Consider the following 20,754-nt stretch of genomic DNA (forward strand, 5'->3'; position numbering starts at 1 on the left):
GTTAAGCTATGGTTTTCAAGATTTATTTGTGTATAAAGATTCCATTATGTAGAAAAGAATATATATAAAAAAAAAACTCTCAAGGCTGAGGCAGGAGAATGGCATGAACCCAGGAGGCGGAGCTTGCAGTGAGCCAAGATCGGCCTGGGCGACAGAGCGAGACTCCGTCTCAAAAAAAAAACAAAAAACAAAAACCAAAAAACACCTGCTGGATATGCAATATAAAGTTTAGAGCTTATAAGCTTTCTGGGCTTGTCTCAAATCTATAGAAAGTAAAAACCTTGAGCACAGAGAATATTTCTTATTATTCATGTGTTATCTTCTGGACCTAATGAAGGGTCTCATATAGAGTAGGCAATTATTAAATAACTGGTAAATGGAAAAAGAGGAAAATGAACAGTAAAAGAGTGTTCAGCTTTCTATTTTGCTTTACCTGCTGCAGGATGCTGGCTGTCTTCTTCAAAGTTTTGAAAAATTATCTCCCTTCTTGGGCTACGTGGCTCTGATCCCTGCATCTATTGAAATCGTCTCCTACAACTCACCCTTTCCATCCTGGGACTCCAGCTTCTTTGCCCTCCTTGTTGTTCCTGAGCACAAGGACAAGCTCCTGTAAGAACAATTCCTTGAGAGCATTTGTATTGCTTGTCTCTCTCACTCGGAATGTCTACCTTAACCATTTTGTAAAAAATACAACTTTTTCTTTTCTTTTGAGATAGAGTCTCACTCTGTCACCCTGGCTGGAGTGCAGTGGCATCATCTCAGGTCACTGCAAGCTCCGCCTCCCGGGTTCAAGTGATTCTCCTGCCTCAGCTTCCTGTGTAACTGGGATTACAGGTGCCTGCCACCATGCCTGGCTAATTTTTTTTTGTATTTTTAGTAGAGACGGGATTTCACCATGTTGGCCAGGTTGGTTTCAAACTCCTGATCTAAAGTCATCTGCCTGCCTCGGCCTCCCAAAGTGCTAGGATCACAGGCCTGAGCAACTGCTCCCAGCCAAAAAATACCATATCTTATCATGCAACATACTCAAGTACCTTGCAATACACTCAAGTATCTTGCAGTACTTTACTTATCAGAACCTGAAATTATATTATAGATTTCATTGTATCTTTCCCCATCAATATGTAAGTCCCATATTAGATGATATCTTGTGTTGCTTACTCCTATTCCCTGTACCTAAACCCGTGCTTGGCACATAAGAAGATAAACAGTAAGTTTTTATTAAATAGATAACGAGAAAATAAGCTTCTCTGTTAGATATGTGCTTTTATGGGAATTTTTCTCAGTTCTTTTTGAAAGCAAGTGGTGTATATTTAAAAAAACTTGAATAAAACTAAAACAAACAAAATCATTATTTAATTGTAAACAGACTTCAAGACTGAGAAAATGCTTCAAAAGAAGTAACTATATCTAAAAATGTAAACAATAAGGAAAATCATCAAAGTACAGAAATTCAAAATAAAAAAGCTAATTTTAAATTTGCTCATTGTGTCCAAAGGTCATATTTCCCTTTGCTTTAGTAAAATGGTAGGTTTGCTTTGGGGCCTACACTGAGCCCCAAATATAATACTTTGTTTCCCAGAATCTTGTACCCAGGTGTAGTTATATGACTAAGTTCTGGCCAAATGAGATATAAGCCAAAATGTCAGGTAAACATTCCAAGAATGATGCTTTAAAGATGTAAATTCAGACTAGAGATAACATCATAATGTGATTTCTCCATTTTTCCTTTCTGCTTCCCGAAATGTTGATATGATGGCTGGAGCTTTAGCGGTCACTGTGGATCATGTTTTTACTTTGAGACTGAGAGCTTTGTATTAGAATGTTGGGACAGAGAGATGGAAGATGCCTGGATCCCTGGTGATTTTGTGTAGCTATCATACCCTCTCTGCATTATTTCCAGACTTCTCCATGGGACAGAATAAACCCTATGTGCTGATGATGCTGTTATTTTTAGTTTTCTGTTTATATACATTGAAGTAAAGTTCATATGTCACGTGAATATCTTAAATTATTCTAAGAGTCATGTTTATTTGCCTGACAGTATGTTTACCAGATTGAGTAGTAAATGTGGAAACCATGTTTCCACTCAGTAGTAATTTTGATCCATCTAAAAAGTACTATTGTATCATCATTGTTCTTGTTGCAGTTGTTGATATATTCACCACCTGTTCTAGGTAAGGACATCTGTTAATTTTCATGATTTTACTAAGTCCTGCATAAATATTAATTAAGCACAGTGGCTCTGAAAAACAAACTCAATGCTTGTTGGGGATTTAGGAGCAAAGCACCCAGGGTAATTACATGCTCAGATTAGAAACTACTTTTAGTAGTATGTAAAAACACACAACTTTTACAAGGGCCCAGGCAAGACAAACACAAGCAAAATTAAAAAAAAAAAAAACTATAGGAATATTAACAAACTTCTGAAGCAACTAGGAATTATAAATGAAATGTTATATCTCTTCCAATATGTACAAAGAGTTAGATTGGGTCTTTGCTCCCAGTGAAAAAATAATAATATATCCAGCACTTCCAACAGCATCCATTATGTGTGCCATTCTAATAAGCTCTTTACCTATATTAAATTATGTAAACAACACAGCAGACACATGAGGGGCGTACTTCATTTGTCAGAAGAGAAAACAGAGGTGCAAGGATGCTAAGTAACTTGTACAAGGTCACATACCTATTCAATACCGACGTCAAGATTGGAATCCAAGCAGGGTAGTTTCAGACTCTGTGTGCTTAGCCTTCAAACTTTGTTACCACTGGCAAACAGCTGGGAAGCAGCAGTAACTTGGGGAGCAATCACCAAGAAGTGTTAGTGAAATGGCTGAGTTGGAAATTCTGCTAAATAAAGGAAACTAGAAAATGATTCCCAGGCTACCAAGAATGGGAATTAAATATCAAGGTATAGGCCAAACATCTCAGAACCATAATGCCAGCACCACCTGGAAGTACTTTCTTGTCCTGTCCTTTTAACAAAAGGACCATAACTTCGGAGCAAAACTCAACTTAGAGCCACAAATCTTGACCCATTTCGCAGAATGCAGCTGGGCCAATATTTTGAAGTGTCTCAAGTACTACAATAATGTAGTACTGTTAGAGCAGCAAAGTTTGGAAATAATGTCCACAATCTTACCAGTAGAAGATATTCAGTTATGCCTATTAATAGCTTTTCTCTCTTACTTGGATTTTGGTCTTCTTCTTCATGTAAGGGCAAAAGGAATGGTATTTGGCTAACATGATGGCACTGAGTATTGCCAGCACCCGTAGGGATATGTTGTGTGACCATCACCAGTTGAATATGTCACGCTGGACAAAATGTTGGGAACTACTGGAATAATTTAAAAAACAGCAGATTGGAGTCAAGAGGCCAAGAATCATGGTGCTGCTATTGAGTAGCTGAATGATCTTAACAGAATTCCTCCAAATTATTGTGGTCTCCCCTTCCTAGTAGCCAAAACAAAGGAACATTATATGGCCACCCTGATTCCCAAGATCCGTCTTCTGTCATAAAATCAGAATGGTAGCTGTGGTATCTACTATACACGTATGTAGTAGATATAGATATATCTACATCTGGTAGATAATCAGATAATCTCCCTACTCAGAGAGCTCAGACAGATTTCATCTGAAGTGACACAGGCATATTTAATTTCAAGTGACAGAATGAGGTTGGAGCATTGGATACATTAAGAATGAGTTTCCTTTCTTCCTACTGATTGCTGTATTGATTAAGCATCTAATATGTGCCAAGTTTTCTATCATATATGTTACATACTTGGTCATCCTTACTACAAACAATATGGTAGATCGTATGATCCCAAATTGAAAATGAGAAAAAAAAAGGAGCTCAAAGAGAGTTTGAGTACTTGCTCAACCTCACACAGCTAGAAAATGGCAATAAGAGAATTTAATCCCATTGTTAGTAAACAAAAGTTAAACTCAGATCTGTCTTACTCCATGCTGTGGACTAAATTGTGTCACCTTTCCCCCTGTGGAGGCTGGAGCAACTCCATCTTTGATGCTTACCTGCCATGTTAGCTTCTGATTAACCGCAGTTCTGGGAAGGCCTTTGAAATTTCCAGTTTATCTACTGTTCCTTATATAAGAGCATGTACTTATGTAAATCCTGTCCTTATGGCAAATTCTTACACATTCCCTCTGAAGCACATGTGCCCTTCCCCTATGGTATATAATCCCTGGGTTTGGGGGATTATATACCTGGGATCCATTCTTGCGAGACTGTCTTGTCTTGTCCCTACCTGAGACATATTCTGTTCCTAAGTCCCTATTACATATTTCTTTTTAAGAAACTGGATTTGTGAGCCCTTTCTTTGGCCTCTCAACTTCCTTTGACTTTGGGGTAGATTTGCATAGGCCTGCCTACCTCAAAATACTCCCTAATTCATTTGTTGGAGCCCAAAGCCCAAAAGTTACTGTATTTAGAGATAAGGAGTAATCAAGGTTAAATGAGGTCATCAGAGTAGGAAAAGGATTAGTGTCCTTATAAAATAAGATACCAGAGAGCTCACTCTCTCCCTGCTGTGTAAGCACACTACCAGAAGATTGGCATGTGCAAGTCAGTAAGACAGCCCTCACCAAAAGCCCCTGTGCTGGCATCCTGATCCCAGACTCCCAGCCTCCAGAACTGTAAAAATATTAATTTTTGTTGTTTAAACCACCAAGTCTGTGGTATTTTGTTATGGTGGCCCAGGCAGACTAATTCACTCCAAAGGTTTTCTTTGCCCTTTTTTTCCCCGCTAAGCCATGTCTAGTCATTGTGTCCAAAAATGTCTGAAAAATAATTGGAGGAATCATTAAAGAGCTAGTGAGCTCACATTTTACATTAAAGGTGTTGCTGGTACTCCCTGGAGTTGTACTGTGCGCAGCCTGTGTGAAGGGACCTGGAAGTCCTTACTCCTGTCTGCATAATTGACATTAATCAATGATGCAAATCTGCCACTGGGTGCCAAATGCTTCGATTGTTACCCTCCAGCAGTACTACAACTAATGATATTACTATTATTCCTGCTCTTCTTTCTATTCTGTGTCCACTACCAGCATCCCAATTTTGAGTCTAATTTTTCAAAAAATACTTTCACAGTCTATCTCTAATTAAAATTCTCTACACTATAATCACGACATAATATTATCTCCACTTTACAGATGAGAAAGATGAAGTTCAAGGAGCTGCTGAGAGGTACTAAGCTAATCAGTAGCAAAGGCAAAGTGCAAAGTTTCCTGAACGCTGTTCAGTGCTCTCCACCCTGTAACCTCTATGCTTGCCTGAATATCCATCTTTCTCTACTAAGCATTTTCACATCCACAATTTTACCATTTTCAAGTATATTTTTCAGACATCCAATAAATTGTAGAATGGCAGAAATTATTTTCAGAGGGTGAAACAGGCTTTTAAATCATGCCCAGTAAAACTAAATTCTATCCTTAGGGGTTCCACTGATTAGCTGCAATAACTGTTGTCCAGATAGCCCTTGGTGTTGGACAACTTAAGGAAAATTTGTTAGATTGATTAGCCCAATTAACTCAGAAACTGACGTACAAAAACAGGCAGGAAACCCCTGCTGGGTCCAAGAAAGAAATAAAAGACATGCCCTTGGTCTTGACTGCATAAATATGAGAGGGCCCATGGAAATTTCCACATAGAGTGCAAACACAAAGGCAGTCTGGGAGAGGACCAAGCTCAGGACTGGCTCAAGAAAGAAACAAAGAAGAGAATTAAGAACCGCTAAGAAGGCAAAAAGCCTAAGGAGAGAGAGCTCAAAGAATGGACACTCTTTGGCAAGCCCAAAGGCCAAAGAACAGAGAGGGAAATTTGCAGAGCATTCAAGAATACTGAGAGGGAAAAGATCTGTGAGCTGAGAAACATGGCCTTCTTTGTTCAACGCTGGTAATGAGATTAATCTGTATTTTTTGTGAATCAGTAGCAAAGGCAAAGCACAAAGTTAGGTTCCTAACTTCACTACTGGAGCAAATGGAGCAAATAAGAAAAATAAGAAAGAAATTCTCCTTGTTAAAAAATAACTCTTCAAATCTTAATTTTTTAGATACATTATCTTGGAGTGTTGCTCTCATCACTCACTACTTGGGGTAAAGTTTTTATGTAAGTTTAAAAATGTAGTCTTCATCTCCTTCCCTTTCCTCTTGCATTTCTTCCATTTTTAAATTTTAATATGTAACTGCTAAAGCTGTAGATTTCTACTATGACTGGAATCCCAGCTGTACTGTGACTTTCATATTTGCTACTAATACTTGTACGTAACCAAGACTGATCTGACCATTTCATTTGTGATAGAGGATGAATAGATTCCCGTTATTCCATTAGCCATCATAATCCCCCATCTCAATAGAGTTTTAATTTTTTTGTCCTACAGGACTATTTCTTCCAGATGGAAGACAATGTTTTCAAGAGGCCAAATGAATCATTTGATAAGAACAAGCTAGTTCTCTTCTAAAATGAGATTAAGAAGCGGAAAATGGGAGACAGGGGAGGAAGAATAGCCCAGAAAGAACACAGAACCGCAAGAAAAAGATCCAGGAGATTCCCAGAAACTGGAAGAACAAGCATAAAAGCGTTCTGTGAATTTCCCCAGTTATGAAACAAAAAGCAAAAGTGAAAACAAATGGCATAATCAACATGCCTGTCAATATTCTGCACCACAAAGTAACAGTTTGCTAACAGGTCATCAGAGTCATGGAAGACCGCAAGTTCTTTAGCGGGTTGGGGAATTCAGGGATGGACAGCAAAATGCCAAGTCAATCTTTTTGAAAACACTGATTACAGGCAGAGAGCAGCAATCACAGAGCATCTGAGGAAATCCAGGATCATTTTCAGTTCTGAGGAAGGAAGTCATTAGGCAGCTAATTAATTTTCCTTTAAGCTCATTAATAATGGTATCTGGTTGCACATAATCTGTAAATTAGTGAAGACTAAAATTTAAGAGTGATGTGGTTGGAAAGGGTGAAAGAACACGAAGCTTAGAAAATCTATTTTATTAAGCTACATGGAATTAACAATTTTTTTATCTATGTACATATGCAGACCTTTAATTAATAAGCGTTAATATGTATAGAGTGCTTACTCTGTTCTAAGCATTGTTCTGTGTGTTTTACATGAATTATCTCATGTAATATAATAACTTTATAATATAGGTAATATTAATATCTCAAGTTTATAGCTAAGGAAATTAAAGTCTAGCAACATTAATAAACTTTAGTAAGAAATAGTAAATACAGCTAGTAAATAGCAAAACCAATATGCAACATATTATTTTTCAGGTATTAGCAAATTTTTATTACAGACAAAGACTGTAACAAAAAAGACATAGATTTTTATAGTCAAAAGGCTCTGGATTGAGTCCTGATTCTATCACGTACTACTTTTGTGTATATTTAGATACATTTCTGCATCTCCTTAATTTCTTTACCATGAAAGCATTACTCATGAACTTGCCAATCTGGTATACAAATTAAATGAGATAAATGCATTTACAATGCATAGTATGTATGTATAAAACAATAATGTTAACAGTCATTCTTCATCATTGTATTATTCAGTCAGTAAATTTATTCAGTGTCATGCAATAAATGACAGATAATATGACTGTTTTTAAGCCTCAGCACATATTAGGCACCCAATTAATAGTGCCTTTTCTCATCTTTTTCCATCTGTTAGTAAGGACTATTTACAAATGACCTAGCTAGCTAACAAAATAAATACAAAGTTTGAAAAGTAAATTGAAAAATGGCAGTTCCAAATTATTGAAGTTTAATTGAAAAAACTACAGCCTTGCTTAAACATTTTCTTGATTAAAAATAAACATTGGAAAGGGGGCATTATAATATCCCTGCAAAGCAATCAGATTCGTTTTAAAAATGAAGTCATAGAAAAAGTCAAAATCTCAAATAAAAGTCCATTATATTGTGGCTAAGTGTCAATATAATTGAGAAGGTTTATAATGTGACAGGTATATTTCAGTGAGATGAAATTCAAGATAGATCTGAATACTTAAAATTTCCTTAACATCCTGTGCAGTTTTATATAACTAATGTTTTTTATCCCAAAATGTTTTGCATTCAGATCTCCTTTAGCATGATGACCTATAATTCTCATTAATTTTACAGAATTATCTGCCTATGAAAATTGGGAAATTTTCTCCTATAACATGTTTCCACTACATTTGAATTTTAAAGTGAACTCAATCCCAATAAAATAAAAGAATAACTTTGCTAGGGCAAGAAGAGGCCTAAGAAGGGTTATGGTCATAAATGTTGCTCAATGTGATGGGGGAAATGCAAGTCCAAGAGCTACTTAGAGAATCACAGAACATTTAAAATTCTAGATTCAGTGAATCTGAAATAAGAATATGTTTCTGTAAAATATTCTAACCAGCCTCCGCATCAACAAAGATCGTCAGAGGAACTAAGAGACCCATAAGTTTCTAAATTGTGAAACTTGAGATGAAGAATCTATGTATGTATGTATGTATGTATGTATGTATGTATGTATGTATGTATGTATGTATGTATCTATTTATCTATCTATCATCTATTGCCATAAAGAATGGCTAAAGAATGATAAAGAATCTATCTATCTATCTATCTATCTATCTATCTATCTATCTATCTATCTATCCATCCATCCATCTATCCATCCATCCAAACCTAGGGTAGAGTTCCTGATTCCCCACCCTGGCAATGGCCTTTCTGGTCTCATCTCCTACCTTTCTCCACACACTCACTCTGTTGCATCCACACTGGCCTCCATGACTCTTCCAAGCCAGATGGCATCCACTTCTGGATCTCTGTACTTCCCAATCCCTCTGCCAGAAACAATTTTCATCTAAATATCTGCAAGGCTAGCTCTTTCACCTCTTTTTGTTATTTGCTCAAATGTCTCTTCAAGATGCATTTTTTGACCACTCTATTTATAATTGCAATCACTTTTCTATGCCTTGCCCATCCCTCACATACACTCTGTGCTTTTATAACTATCTAGATCTGCATTCTCAGATGCGGTAGCCACTAGCCCCATGTGGCTATTCAAATTGAAATTTAAATTCATTGAAACAAAACAAAACTTAAAATTGAGTCCTTTAGTCACACTCGGTTTATTTCAAGTATTCAATGGTCACCTGTAGCCAGTGGCTACTATATTGAACAGCAAAGCTATAGAATATTTCTATCACTGAGGAAATTTCTATGGGACAGTGCTGTTCTTGACACGTATACACTTTGTATATTTGTTTGTTTTCTTTAATATATCCTTCTACCAATCCACCCATGTCTACCCTACGTTTCTAAGCACAGAAGTGGCCAGGGCTTTTGTTGATTTTGTTTGCTGCTTTATCCCGAGTACTTAGAACAATCCTTGGCCCGTATGAGATATTCTATAAATACCTGTTAAATGAGTAAATTGATTGAAACATAACCATTCATTATTTCCCTTTAAAAAGTCAGAGATCTTGCCAGTTGCCATGACAGGGATGAATCTGGAGGACATTATGCTCAGTGAAATAAGCCAGACACAGAAAATGTTGCACAATCTCACATGTGGGATTTTAAAATCCAAATATGCAGACATAGAGAACAAAACAGTGATTATCAGGGGCAGGGCATGAGGGGGAAGAAATTGGGGGGGTGGATATAGATCAGAGGATACAAAGTTGCAAATATGTAGGATGAATACTAAGTCCAGAGTTGTAAGCTACAACATGAGAACTAAAGGTAACAAAATTGCACTGTATATAGTATTCATGCTAAATGAGTAGATTTTAGCTACTTTTGCCATAAAAACAAAAAATGGGTAACTATGTGAGCTAACAGATGTGTTAACTTGCTTCTTTGTAGTAACATTTTTACAACCTGTATGCATCCCATAACATCATGTATAACCTAAGTTAAATATACACAGTGAAGTTTATTTTTAATAAATATCAGAAATAAGAAAGCAGTTGCATCACTTCACTTTAGAGGGAATTTCAACATGCCAAATTATCCTCAGTTGTATTTCACCAGGCTATTTATTTGTTGCTTATAATTGTCCAAATACCTATGAATGGTAAACCTTTTGAGACTATGACTTCCTGTTATCATTTATCTCCTGTGCAGAGTAATAATCACTAACATATGTCAAGATTTATGACAGAAAAGTCTGTCGACTCCTACACCTCCCAAAAATTGTTAACTGTCATGAAAGTTTTAGAGTTGAGCACTTCATTTGATTAGGCTTTTCATATATATGTTATAATAAATACAGATAGATTACTACTGGATAATGGCCATCAGTCAATCTATTTGGTTTTATAAGCATAGATATGCGATTGCCTTGTAAAAATCATTTTTATTCCTACCTATATTCATTAGAATGAAGGCCTAAATATGAGTGATCCCTGCCCTCTCTGATTGACCTTGCAGAGTGCTTCTGAAGTTTGAATTCATTACTGTCAATACTGTACAGAATCATGTAAAATATATTAAAGATCCATCTTGTTGGCAAAAGCAACAGTTTTCAAACTGAATCTAAGCTTAAAATGCTCTAGAGTTAGAGCTAATAAATTCATTTTTTTAACTTTTGAAGACCTGAGTTTTTAAAATAATATTTTTTCTTACTGTGAATGAAACTTAATAAAATATTAAACAGTACACAAAAATATTAAAAACTATTTTAAAAGGGAAACATAATTTTACAACACAAAAACAATCTCTGTTAATATTTTGGTGCATTTTAAAATTTTTTTTCAGCCTATTTCCTATTTTTGTGTTTTTGGTTTTTTTTTTTTTCTTGAGACAGAGTCTTACTCTGTTGCCCAAGCTGGAGTGCAGTGATGAAATCTCAGCTCACTGCAACCTCCACCTCCCGGCTTCAAGCGATTCTCCTGCCTCAGCCTCCCAAATAGCTGGGATTACAGTCGTCGGCCACCATGCCCAGCTAATTTTTGTTTTTTTAGTAGAGACGGGGTTTCACCATGTTGGTCAGGCTGGTCTCAAACTCCTGACCTCAGGTGACCTGCATACCTTGGCCTCCCAGAGTGCTGTTCAACCCTATTTTTAAAATACACAATTATTACCCTATGTATCTCTAATGTACTTTCTGTTTTCTCCCCTTAACACTACAATAGTCCTTGGCATTCACATGTTCAACTGTTTTTACTTTATTCTAAATGTCTTTGACTTGTAATGATTTGTATTTTTCTAAGTGACAAATTAGAATCATGCAGGGAATGTGAATAGTTTAAACTGACGGATCAGTCTATCGGATTGCCCAAAATTTGGAACTCAATGTGTTTTGTTGTTGCTATGTTTGCAGTAATTGACATCAATGGTGAAGATGCTATTGGGAGGCAGGAGAGTTCAGTGAAGAATGCCAGTCACATTTGGGTTTAGATACCATTTCCATTTCTTCATTCAGTCCACAGATACTTATTTAGCCAGGTATAATACTAACGGAGGAGACCATCCCTCATATTGTCTTATGCCCAATTTCTGCCTCCAAAGAAAGAAAAAGTAAAAACTGAAAGGCAGAAATGAAATCCACAAGCAGACAGCCCGGCGCCACACCCTGGGCCTGGTAGTTAAAGATTGACCCCTGACCTAATCGGTTATGCTATCTATAGATTAAAGACATTGTATAGAAAAGCACTGTGAAAATCCCTATCCTGTTTTGTTCCCATCTAATTACCGGTGCATGCAGCCCCCAGTCACGTACCCCCTGCTTGCTCAATCGATCACGACCCTCTCAAGTGCACCCCCTTAGAGTTGTGAGCCCTTAAAAGGGACAGGAATTGCTCACTCAGGGAGCTTGGCTCTTGAGACAGGAGTCTCGTCGATGCCCTCGGCTGAATAAATTCCTTCCTTCTTTAACTTGGTGTCTGAGGAGTTTTGTCTGCGGCTCGTCCTGCTACAATACTAGATTCTGTATATACAAATAGCTTATTTTTTCCTACAGCTTTCCCATTTCCAGGTATTGTGCTAAGTACTGTACCTACTTACCATGTTTGATTCTCACAACTGTTGTAACTCCATTGTATAGTAACAAAACAGCTACCCAGTAACGGCAAGTAATTTGCAGGTGATGGAGCCCCCATGACTGACACTCAGGAGTTCTAATTTCAGTATCCTTCCTTTTAGTCACCTTATTTCATGGCCTCGCTTAAAGTGTTTGCTATTGGGAAAATCATTTAACTGTTTTGAGCCCCCATGTATTTGTTTGTATTAAATAAGATAGAGGACAACTCATAATGCCCTGGCACATTAAAAATACCCAGTAAGAGTTAGCTACTATTACTATGCTATTATTAAAAATTCATAGACTTCTGAAGGGAACAGAAATAATTCCTTGTGGATGTTAAGAGTTTACTGTCTAGCATAATCATGTTCCCAAGGCATTAAATCTTCTTTATAAACTTAATTTTAATTACTGCAGCATAGTCCATGTATTGATGTGCTATAACACATTTACCTATTTTCTCTACCTCTGGGCATTTTGGATTGCTTCTGAACTCAGTTTTTACTTGAATAAAGCAGTGGATTTCAAAGAAATAATTCCTGTACATTCAATAAGTATTTATCCATCACCTTCTATGTTAAAACTGCTGTGATAGAAATTTTAGGTGACAAAATGAGTGCTCAAAGTGGATTAGGATGACTCCACAGGGAAGATTCCAGGCAAGCACCATGCAGGCTTAGAGTGGGAAAGGGTCTCATTTAGTGGGGGAAGATCAAGAGATGTTTTTAGGAGGTAATAATACAGTTTCGATCGTCAGATAAATGTGAATAGAACAGAGAGAACACAAGAAATAGGAAAGACAGTAGAGGCAGAGGGAACACTTTAGCAAGAGCAGGAAAGTGGCCAAGCATTAAGCTCAGGAACAGTGAGCGGTCTCATTGGAGCAAAGGCATATGTAAGTAAAGGTTAAGAAATATAGAAAAGAAAATATAAGAAATATACTAAAAATAAAAAAGGTTAGAAATATAGACTGTGTCCATATTATAAAAGACTTTGAATGGCAGGGTAATGGGTCCATTCTTTATTATGTTTGCAATGGGGAAATCATGATATATTTCCCTGAGTCCAGTGGATACTAGTTAACATGGCAAAAATAGCATCACTTCTTATCATGTAATCAGCAAAGCCACTGAGGCCTGAAGTGGTTGGGGCACCAGAGATTAAATACATAGAGAAGCCTTTAAAAATCAGTAGGAGAAAGGACACTAGAACTTAAGTGAACATGGAGCAAGAGATCATGAGGGCTAGTGTGATTCAGGGACCTACAGCAAACGACAAAAAGAAACATGTCAGGGCAATTGAATGGCCTCTTTCTATGTCATGATCCTCACTTTCATTGCTAAATAATGAGCATCCAGGAGCACTGGACAGGATAAAAAGACACTGCAGAACCTGAAACTCCCACTTAACAGAGGTCTGAATAGCTACTTTTGCAATTTATTTTTAGGCCTCCTTAAGAAGAGACCAACCAAGGCTGGGCTCAGAGTGTCTGTCCAGAGTGGAATGTTTCAAAATTGCCTTTCTCATTTGTGTTACTGGACAATCATTAGTGCACACACTATTTTAAAATGTCACCCAAGGGAACAGACAAAATACCAATAAAAGGTGTTTCTGCAGAATGAAAAGTGCCAACCACAATTTTATTTGCAGCGTCTTTGGGGAAATTAATTCTTTGCCTCCTTTCCAAGACCTTCCATTCATGTATACTTTTGCAGAACTAATTATTTTTAAATGACTTGCATGTTTCCCATCTAACTGTAAAGAATCTTCAGTTTCTACAATTTATCCTTCAATAGTTTTGTTTCTACTGCAAATTAATTTTTAAAAAGGTTTTTCATTTTAAGTGTTTTCTTTATTTAGATTAAGACTATTATTTAAATGCACTGAGATATGTAGTTTGTAAAGCTTAAAAGTACCTTTGAATGGTATGTGTGTTTGTGCATGCATTTTGCACAGAGAGATCATTTTGGAGATTAGAGATATGTTTTATCCAATTTAGCTTTTATTCCTCAAGTGATTGAGCTTCCAATATTTCCCACGGGATGAGTTTCAAAATCCAATAGCTTTTTATTCTATAGAGGCTGTCAAATACTCAATAGCCTCCACATTCATTAAAATCCTTATTATATAATGTTGATCTGGTTTATATATAATTCCAATTGCACCTAGCATTTATATCTTTTATCATGTGTGTGTTTAAAACCCCTCCCCACAACTTGGGCTTTATTTAATAACTTTTAATCTATCTGTATATGCCCCAAATCCAATTCTTTCATTATTTGCCTGACTTTTTCAGTGTTCTCCGATTTACACCTTTCAAGACGTGTGGTGCCCACAATAAATAAAATATGACAAATACAATTTAACACAAAGAAAATGCAACATAGCCCAAAGATCACAATCTTTAGACTCAAGATAAACCATATTCTTAGTCTCAGTTCTTTTCCTCACTATCTATAGGTATATGAGAAAATAGCCTACTGTTTCTTCAAGGCCTTTATTTATTGATTCATCTCTAAAGTTGAAATAATACTTTTGACCTTACAGATTTGTTGTTGAGGTTAAATGAGATAACGTATGTCAAATGCTTAGCCTGCATGGAGAACATCTAAGAATAATGTGACAAAAATAGGCACTGAATAAATTAATGTTATTCTTAATTGGAGTCATCAATGACACAATAAAGACTTGTGATATCCATTTATTTACTTTAACTGATTTGACTCTCATAGCTTCATAAAGTTGAAATATTTTCAAAAGTCATTTCACTTCCCATCCTCTGCTGTCAGACAGAAATCTACCCAAACAATGTTAAACAAATAGAAGTCAATCCCCTCTTCTTAAAATAAAAGAGTTACTACAATAACCCATAATAAGCTGCTATATAGACCACAGTTATTGACTAAGACTAAAGCAACTGTAAAATATGAAGAGACCAGTAAAAACTTTTGTGGAAATGAATACCTATAAGCTGCCTGCATAAAAACATGAATTATCTAGACAGTTGAAGCCACCTAAAACAATAGCCTAAATTGAATATTCCTAGAGAAACAGACATGAGCTATTTGAATAGCTAAAACTTTTGTCGTGAATTGGCCTGAACTCCATTAAAAAAATTCAAAAATCAAAGACAGGGATGATGTGGCCTCTGGAGACTTTAACATTAACTAATTAAGCTGACTCTGAAACCAAGAAAAATTTTAAAAAAATAAAACATTTAACAAGGTGAGCTAGGGAAAATGGACCTTTCCTATAAAGTTTCCACCATCTTAAGTTCTATTGTCCTCATTTGGTCTCACCTTTTCAAACGGGCTTTTGCCACTTATATGTGAGGTAAGTATGGTAATATCTGGAAGTGTGACTATCATATTTGAGTGAAGCTACCTAACTAGTGGAAGATACAGATGTTCTAATTGGTTGTATAAACACTTCCTTCCTCATCTCTGGAGGATTGCTTTCTACACAGCAAACGCCCAATATATTTCCCAATTCTCTCTCTCTCTCTTTTTTTTTTTTTTTGAGACAGAGTCTCGCTCTGTTGCCCAGGCTGGAGTGCAATGGCACGATCTCGGCTCACAGCAACTTCCGCCTCCCGGGTTCAAGCAATTCTCCTGCCTCAGCCTCCCAAGTAGCTGGGATTATAGGTGCCCACCACTACACCCGGCTAATATTTTTCTATTTTTAGTAGAGACAGGGTTTCACCATGTTAGTCAGGCAGGTCTCGAACTCCTGACCTCAGGTGATCCGCCCGCCTCGGCCTCCCAAAGGGCTGGGATTACAGGCGTGAGCCACCACGCCCAGCCTATATTTCCCAATTCTTACTGACATCTTTCTTTAGATTTAGATTCAAAATACTACACTTCTAACTGAGAGACTACATAGATATGTGATAAACACTATTCAATGCAACTTTACCTGAATTATCTTATATAATTCTCCCTAAAACCACAAAATCTAGAAATTATTACTCCAGTTTTATAAAAAAGTACATTGAAGCTCAGAGAGGTTCAGTGATTTGCCAGAAATCATGCAGTTAGTAAGGAGAATACCAAAGTGGGTGTTTAATCTCAACTTATCTTGTTCAAAGTCTTAAGCTCATTCCACTATGACTCAGATGAGTCTCCTAGTATATCGGCAACAATGATAAGCTAGATCAGTATTAGGCCAATACGTTCACTATTGGGTCTTTCCTCTGGTTTGCTATACAGAAAGGCTCTATATACTTCCTATGACCAATTTTCTACAAAGCCTCAATACCACCACAGCATCACATTAAACTCCACTCGATCCCAGAATGCAGTTGTTGCCTTGGCAAATGGCATGGATTGTTGCCAATAATATTTTGCTAGCACAGATTGGGCTTTAAGCCCATATCTTCTTGTATGCCCAATAAGATGAAAAATAATCTGTGATCTTTCATACAACATTACTAACCTTGCTTATGCTTGAAAGTGGTCTGAGGCCAGTTCTTAGTCAGATTCCGTAGATTAAATCTAGAACATCAATAGTGAGGCCATCTTACATGTTGCACAGAGCACTGGGTCTAAGAAATCTGAGTTCTGTTTTGGCATCTGGTCCTAATAAGCGCTATGATCCTGAGAAAATCCATTTCTGGCCTCAGTTTTTAAAGATGTAACCTGAGGGGACAGCTTAAATTATCTTCTAGGATTAAAATGTAGTTTATATCGCATATATACATATGTACATATACAAGCTGCATATTTTGCATTTCAATAGTTATTTAAATGCCTGTTAGCTCAGCAGGTATTCACTTAGACTAGGGAATTGGCAGTTCTCTGATTTTACAAAGAGTCTTTTATCTCAGGATGCTGGAAGATCTTACATCATTCATTAATTAAATCTCACATCCTCCCCTCCTGAAAGGTGAGACCTCAAAGGCTGTTTTTCTCTATCATCACCCATATGGTGCCAGAATATGATATTAACTTTGAAACACAGCACACTGAGAATCTAGCCACTCACACAAAGAGTGTTCTCCCTGCAAGAGTGTAGAAAGGGAACATCCTGAGAATGAACTGCATGGGGAAACTAGAATGGAGAGGTGTGTAATTGTTATGATGGGAGTCTTTGTCAAATGAAGTTGGTGTTAAAATTGATTAAATCAAATACATCTTCCCCTTCCTCTCCTCCCAGTGGATTATGAGCATCAGGTAAAACATCCTATATTTATCTCTCTCAATCTGCATAAGTAGGTGATGCTCCTTTGAAGATGATTGTTATGATGATGACAGTTTTTAGCCTACCTGTATCTCTATTCTCTCTTCCTTTAACCACAGCCTGTTTGTGAAGTTAGAATTAGGTCAGTAAGTTTACCACTGACACTCATCCCCCCGAAATATTTATGTATGTATCTGGTTCAAAAAGTCATAGAGCTGAAGCATAGGTTGGCTTGTTTCTGAGAGGGGAGGAGGGAAAGGGAAACACAGGGAAAGGGAAAGAGGTGAAAAGTCTTAGGCTGATGGAGGGTATGCAGTGTCACATCCGAATGCATGATGACTCCCCTGCATTCAATTATTCCTTGTTGAGAGCAGAGGGTTATGGTTATGTAAACTGTAGAAACCATGGGTGCTAAAAAGAGGAGGAAAGATAACAAAAGTACAAGGAAAAAAAAGTACCATAGAAAATCACAGATTCCTAAACATGGTTCTTTGAAAATGAAGGAACCTGATTTTCTTATTAACATAGATTGTTAATTTTTAATATTTTTAAAAGGAGGTGCTATGAAGAGGAAAAAGATCTACCACTCAGAGTGGACATGATGCCTGCTAGGTGAAGAGAATGATGAGTCATATGTTAACCCACATAAACCAGAGAGCAATCTGCATGACAGTTTATGATTGCTGGTTTGCAGAAGAGAAAACTGAAGCTGACAGACATGATAACTAGTAAAAGTCAAAGGAAAGATTCAAATCCATGTCCTTCAGACTCCAGGGTCTCCACACTCCAGCCAGAAGCTTTTTCTCTTTCTGTTACCTCCTATCTATCTCATAGCTCATTGCTTTCTCATCTCCTTCAATCATCTAGTCTAAATAGAATTCTATTAGCTAGCAGAGAGTTACAGTTACGTAACCCTCAACTAAGCAATGTCAGAAAGCCTGTAATATTTACTGAATAATCTCCACATGAGAAGTACTGCATTCTTCCAGTGAGGCAAAATCCATTGAATTTTTATCCTCACATTTGCCATTGTTTCTGTAGCTTCCAGATTAATTGGCAAAGCAGAATGGACTATAGTTTGGACTTTATTCCAAGAAAACTACAAGATGCACTGTCATGTGCAGCCTTTTTATGAGAATCTTACTTCAAAGTAAAAAAAAAAAAATCTCTCCTAAGGGAAGGGAGGAAACAGGTAATAAACTTTCCATCTATTTCCATGCTGAAAGCTATTATGCTATACAAATAATCCTACATTCATCTGGTTTACAGAAAGCAGAATAAATGCAGCATAAGGACTAGCAGGCATATTTTCCTAAAGCGCTCCACCATGAATTATAAGCATCCACTAACAATGATCCCTTGCTTGTGGAAGAATGCTCACAAATCATCTTTTCAAATATAGGACGCTTGTCTGCATTCAAGAGGTTTATGTTTGTGATCACAGCTTTTCGTTTGGTCCAGTTTTTTCTTCTCTCATTTGGTAAATATGATAACATGTTGATAAAGTATGAAGTAAGTTCCACTGACAGTGTTTTCCCTTGGCATCCTGGGAAGTGATCTGTTTAGGTTGGCTGTACAAAATCTATTTACTCAGCAAACCTAATTTTAGCTAAGGACCAATGAATATGTATATTGAAATGACACCACTGTTTGCCAACAATGTCAGGCTATCTTGCCAGATCAGGATGCACAGACCGAACAAGATGTGAAATATTAAGGCACATCAGAAGTTTTAATTCTTTTACAAAGGGAGGGAAAAAGCAGTCACTTGGGAACTCAGAAAGTAATAACTCATTTACTTGAGAAATATTCAAAGCAAATTTAATCTTCTCTTTTTTCTACCTATTCAAGGAATAATTGTCTTCTTTATCTATTCCTCACCCTCTACACAGCCTTTTCCTCTGTAACTATTGCAATATACTATTTAAAACCCCACATTTTAAAGTCATTTAAACTTTTCATTTTCACTTATGGTTAATATATATATATATTTTTTTGAGATGGAGTCTCATTCCATTGCCCAGGCTGGAGTGCAGTAGCGTGATCTCAGCTCACTGCAACTTCCGCCTCCCGGGTTCAGGCAATTCTCCTGCCTCAGCCTCTCGAGTAGCTGGGATTACAGGTGCATACCACCAGGTCTGGCTAATTTTTGTATTTTTAGTAGAAACGGGGTTTTACCATGTTGGCCGGGCTGGTCTTGAACTCCTGACCTCAAATAATCCACCCACCTCAGCCTCCCAAAGGGCTGGGATTACAGGTGTGAGCCACCACACCTGGCCCTTATGGCTAATATTAATAGCAGCCCACATATTTGTCAGGATATCAAACTATTTTACAAAACACATACAAATGAAAAAAGGATAAAATAAAGCTGTCATTTCTTCTTCCAATATATTTTCCTTAGGAACTTTGAAACATTTTCCTAGATTTTGGGACCTAGATGCTCACTGATTTATTTTCTTTTTAAAGCCTGCAAGGGGGACTGGCTGAACCACATACTGTAGACCTGATATGCTCCAGATAGTTTTGCACCTTACACTTATAAGTTAATAAATGACTCTTCAAAGACTGTGGACCAGAAGAAAATTTTGAGAACACTCAGAGACTCAGAATCTGATCAGAGCTAATTTATGATATCTTTTATTATCGTGATGTTTGTGATATCAGTCATTTCTTTCCAATGATGAATCTCAGTGAATAACATACTTCTCCGTGAACATAAACTGCAGTACTAATTTCTCATCCACATCCTTGGCAGTCAGAGATTTGAAAAGGACTCTGAGATTCATAGCTCAGACTCCCCTTGGAAGTACTAAATATCAGTGATGGAAGAGAAGAAAGGACAGAGACATTCAGCAAATGCTCAATGTGGAGATATGTATGAGGTTGTTTTTGAAGTTCACAGATCAATAGAATTTAAATTTATTATTTCGTGTTAAAGAGAAGAAACATTTTCTACTTTCAGAAAAAGGGACAACAAAGTGATAGCTTTTGATATCCAAGTCACTGACTTAATTTTCTGAGCTTTCTCTTCAACTGCTGCTGCCTAGCAACTTGAAAATTGCCTTCTTATCCCACTAATTTGGGGTATAAGGGGTGTGTACCATGCACATGTTTACCCAAGAGGGAGAAGAAGAAAATTGGCAGGGGATGAGGAGGATTTGATGACCAATTAGCAGCAGGGTGTAGGCAGGCACTGAACATTGATCAGAACTCCCAGACTTCAGTTGGGGTGATTTTGTGGGTGATGATACACCTAACAGGGATTAGACACATAGGAGAAGAAACAATTTTTGTGAGAAGTAGGAACACAATGAATTTATTTTAAGCAGAATGAATTTGAGATATCTATGGAACATCTACCTACAGATTGCCAAAAATCCGATGGAAATAGGAATCTGGGGTAAGAGAAAGTGATAGCAATTACTGATAATCATTCGCATGTCATCAGCAGCATGTAGGTGGTAGATGAAGACAAAAGGATGAATCAAATATAGATGCTTAGAAAGAAATGCTCCTCTATTTAGTTTCTAGTCTTCTCT

At 37.0% G+C, this 20,754-nt stretch overlaps 1 protein-coding gene across 25 annotated transcripts in view, besides 1 other annotated feature; it reads right to left on the reverse strand.

The window, feature by feature from the left end:
- The window catches only part of LRRC4C (leucine rich repeat containing 4C), a 1,345,454-nt gene that overhangs the window by 95,883 nt on the left and 1,228,817 nt on the right, over nt 1-20,754 (reverse strand). The window lies entirely within an intron of this gene.
- Nucleotides 17,033-17,534: an enhancer, noted in NCBI's record as "NANOG hESC enhancer chr11:40248664-40249165 (GRCh37/hg19 assembly coordinates)". NCBI's record gives its function as "activates a minimal SCP1, AML or CMV promoter by ChIP-STARR-seq in primed H9 embryonic stem cells {active_cell/tissue: H9 hESC(primed)}" and the evidence as "EXISTENCE:reporter gene assay evidence [ECO:0000049][PMID:30033119]".

This window comes from Homo sapiens, chromosome 11 (assembly GCF_000001405.40).
Source record: "Homo sapiens chromosome 11, GRCh38.p14 Primary Assembly".
Lineage (NCBI taxonomy): Eukaryota > Metazoa > Chordata > Mammalia > Primates > Hominidae > Homo > Homo sapiens.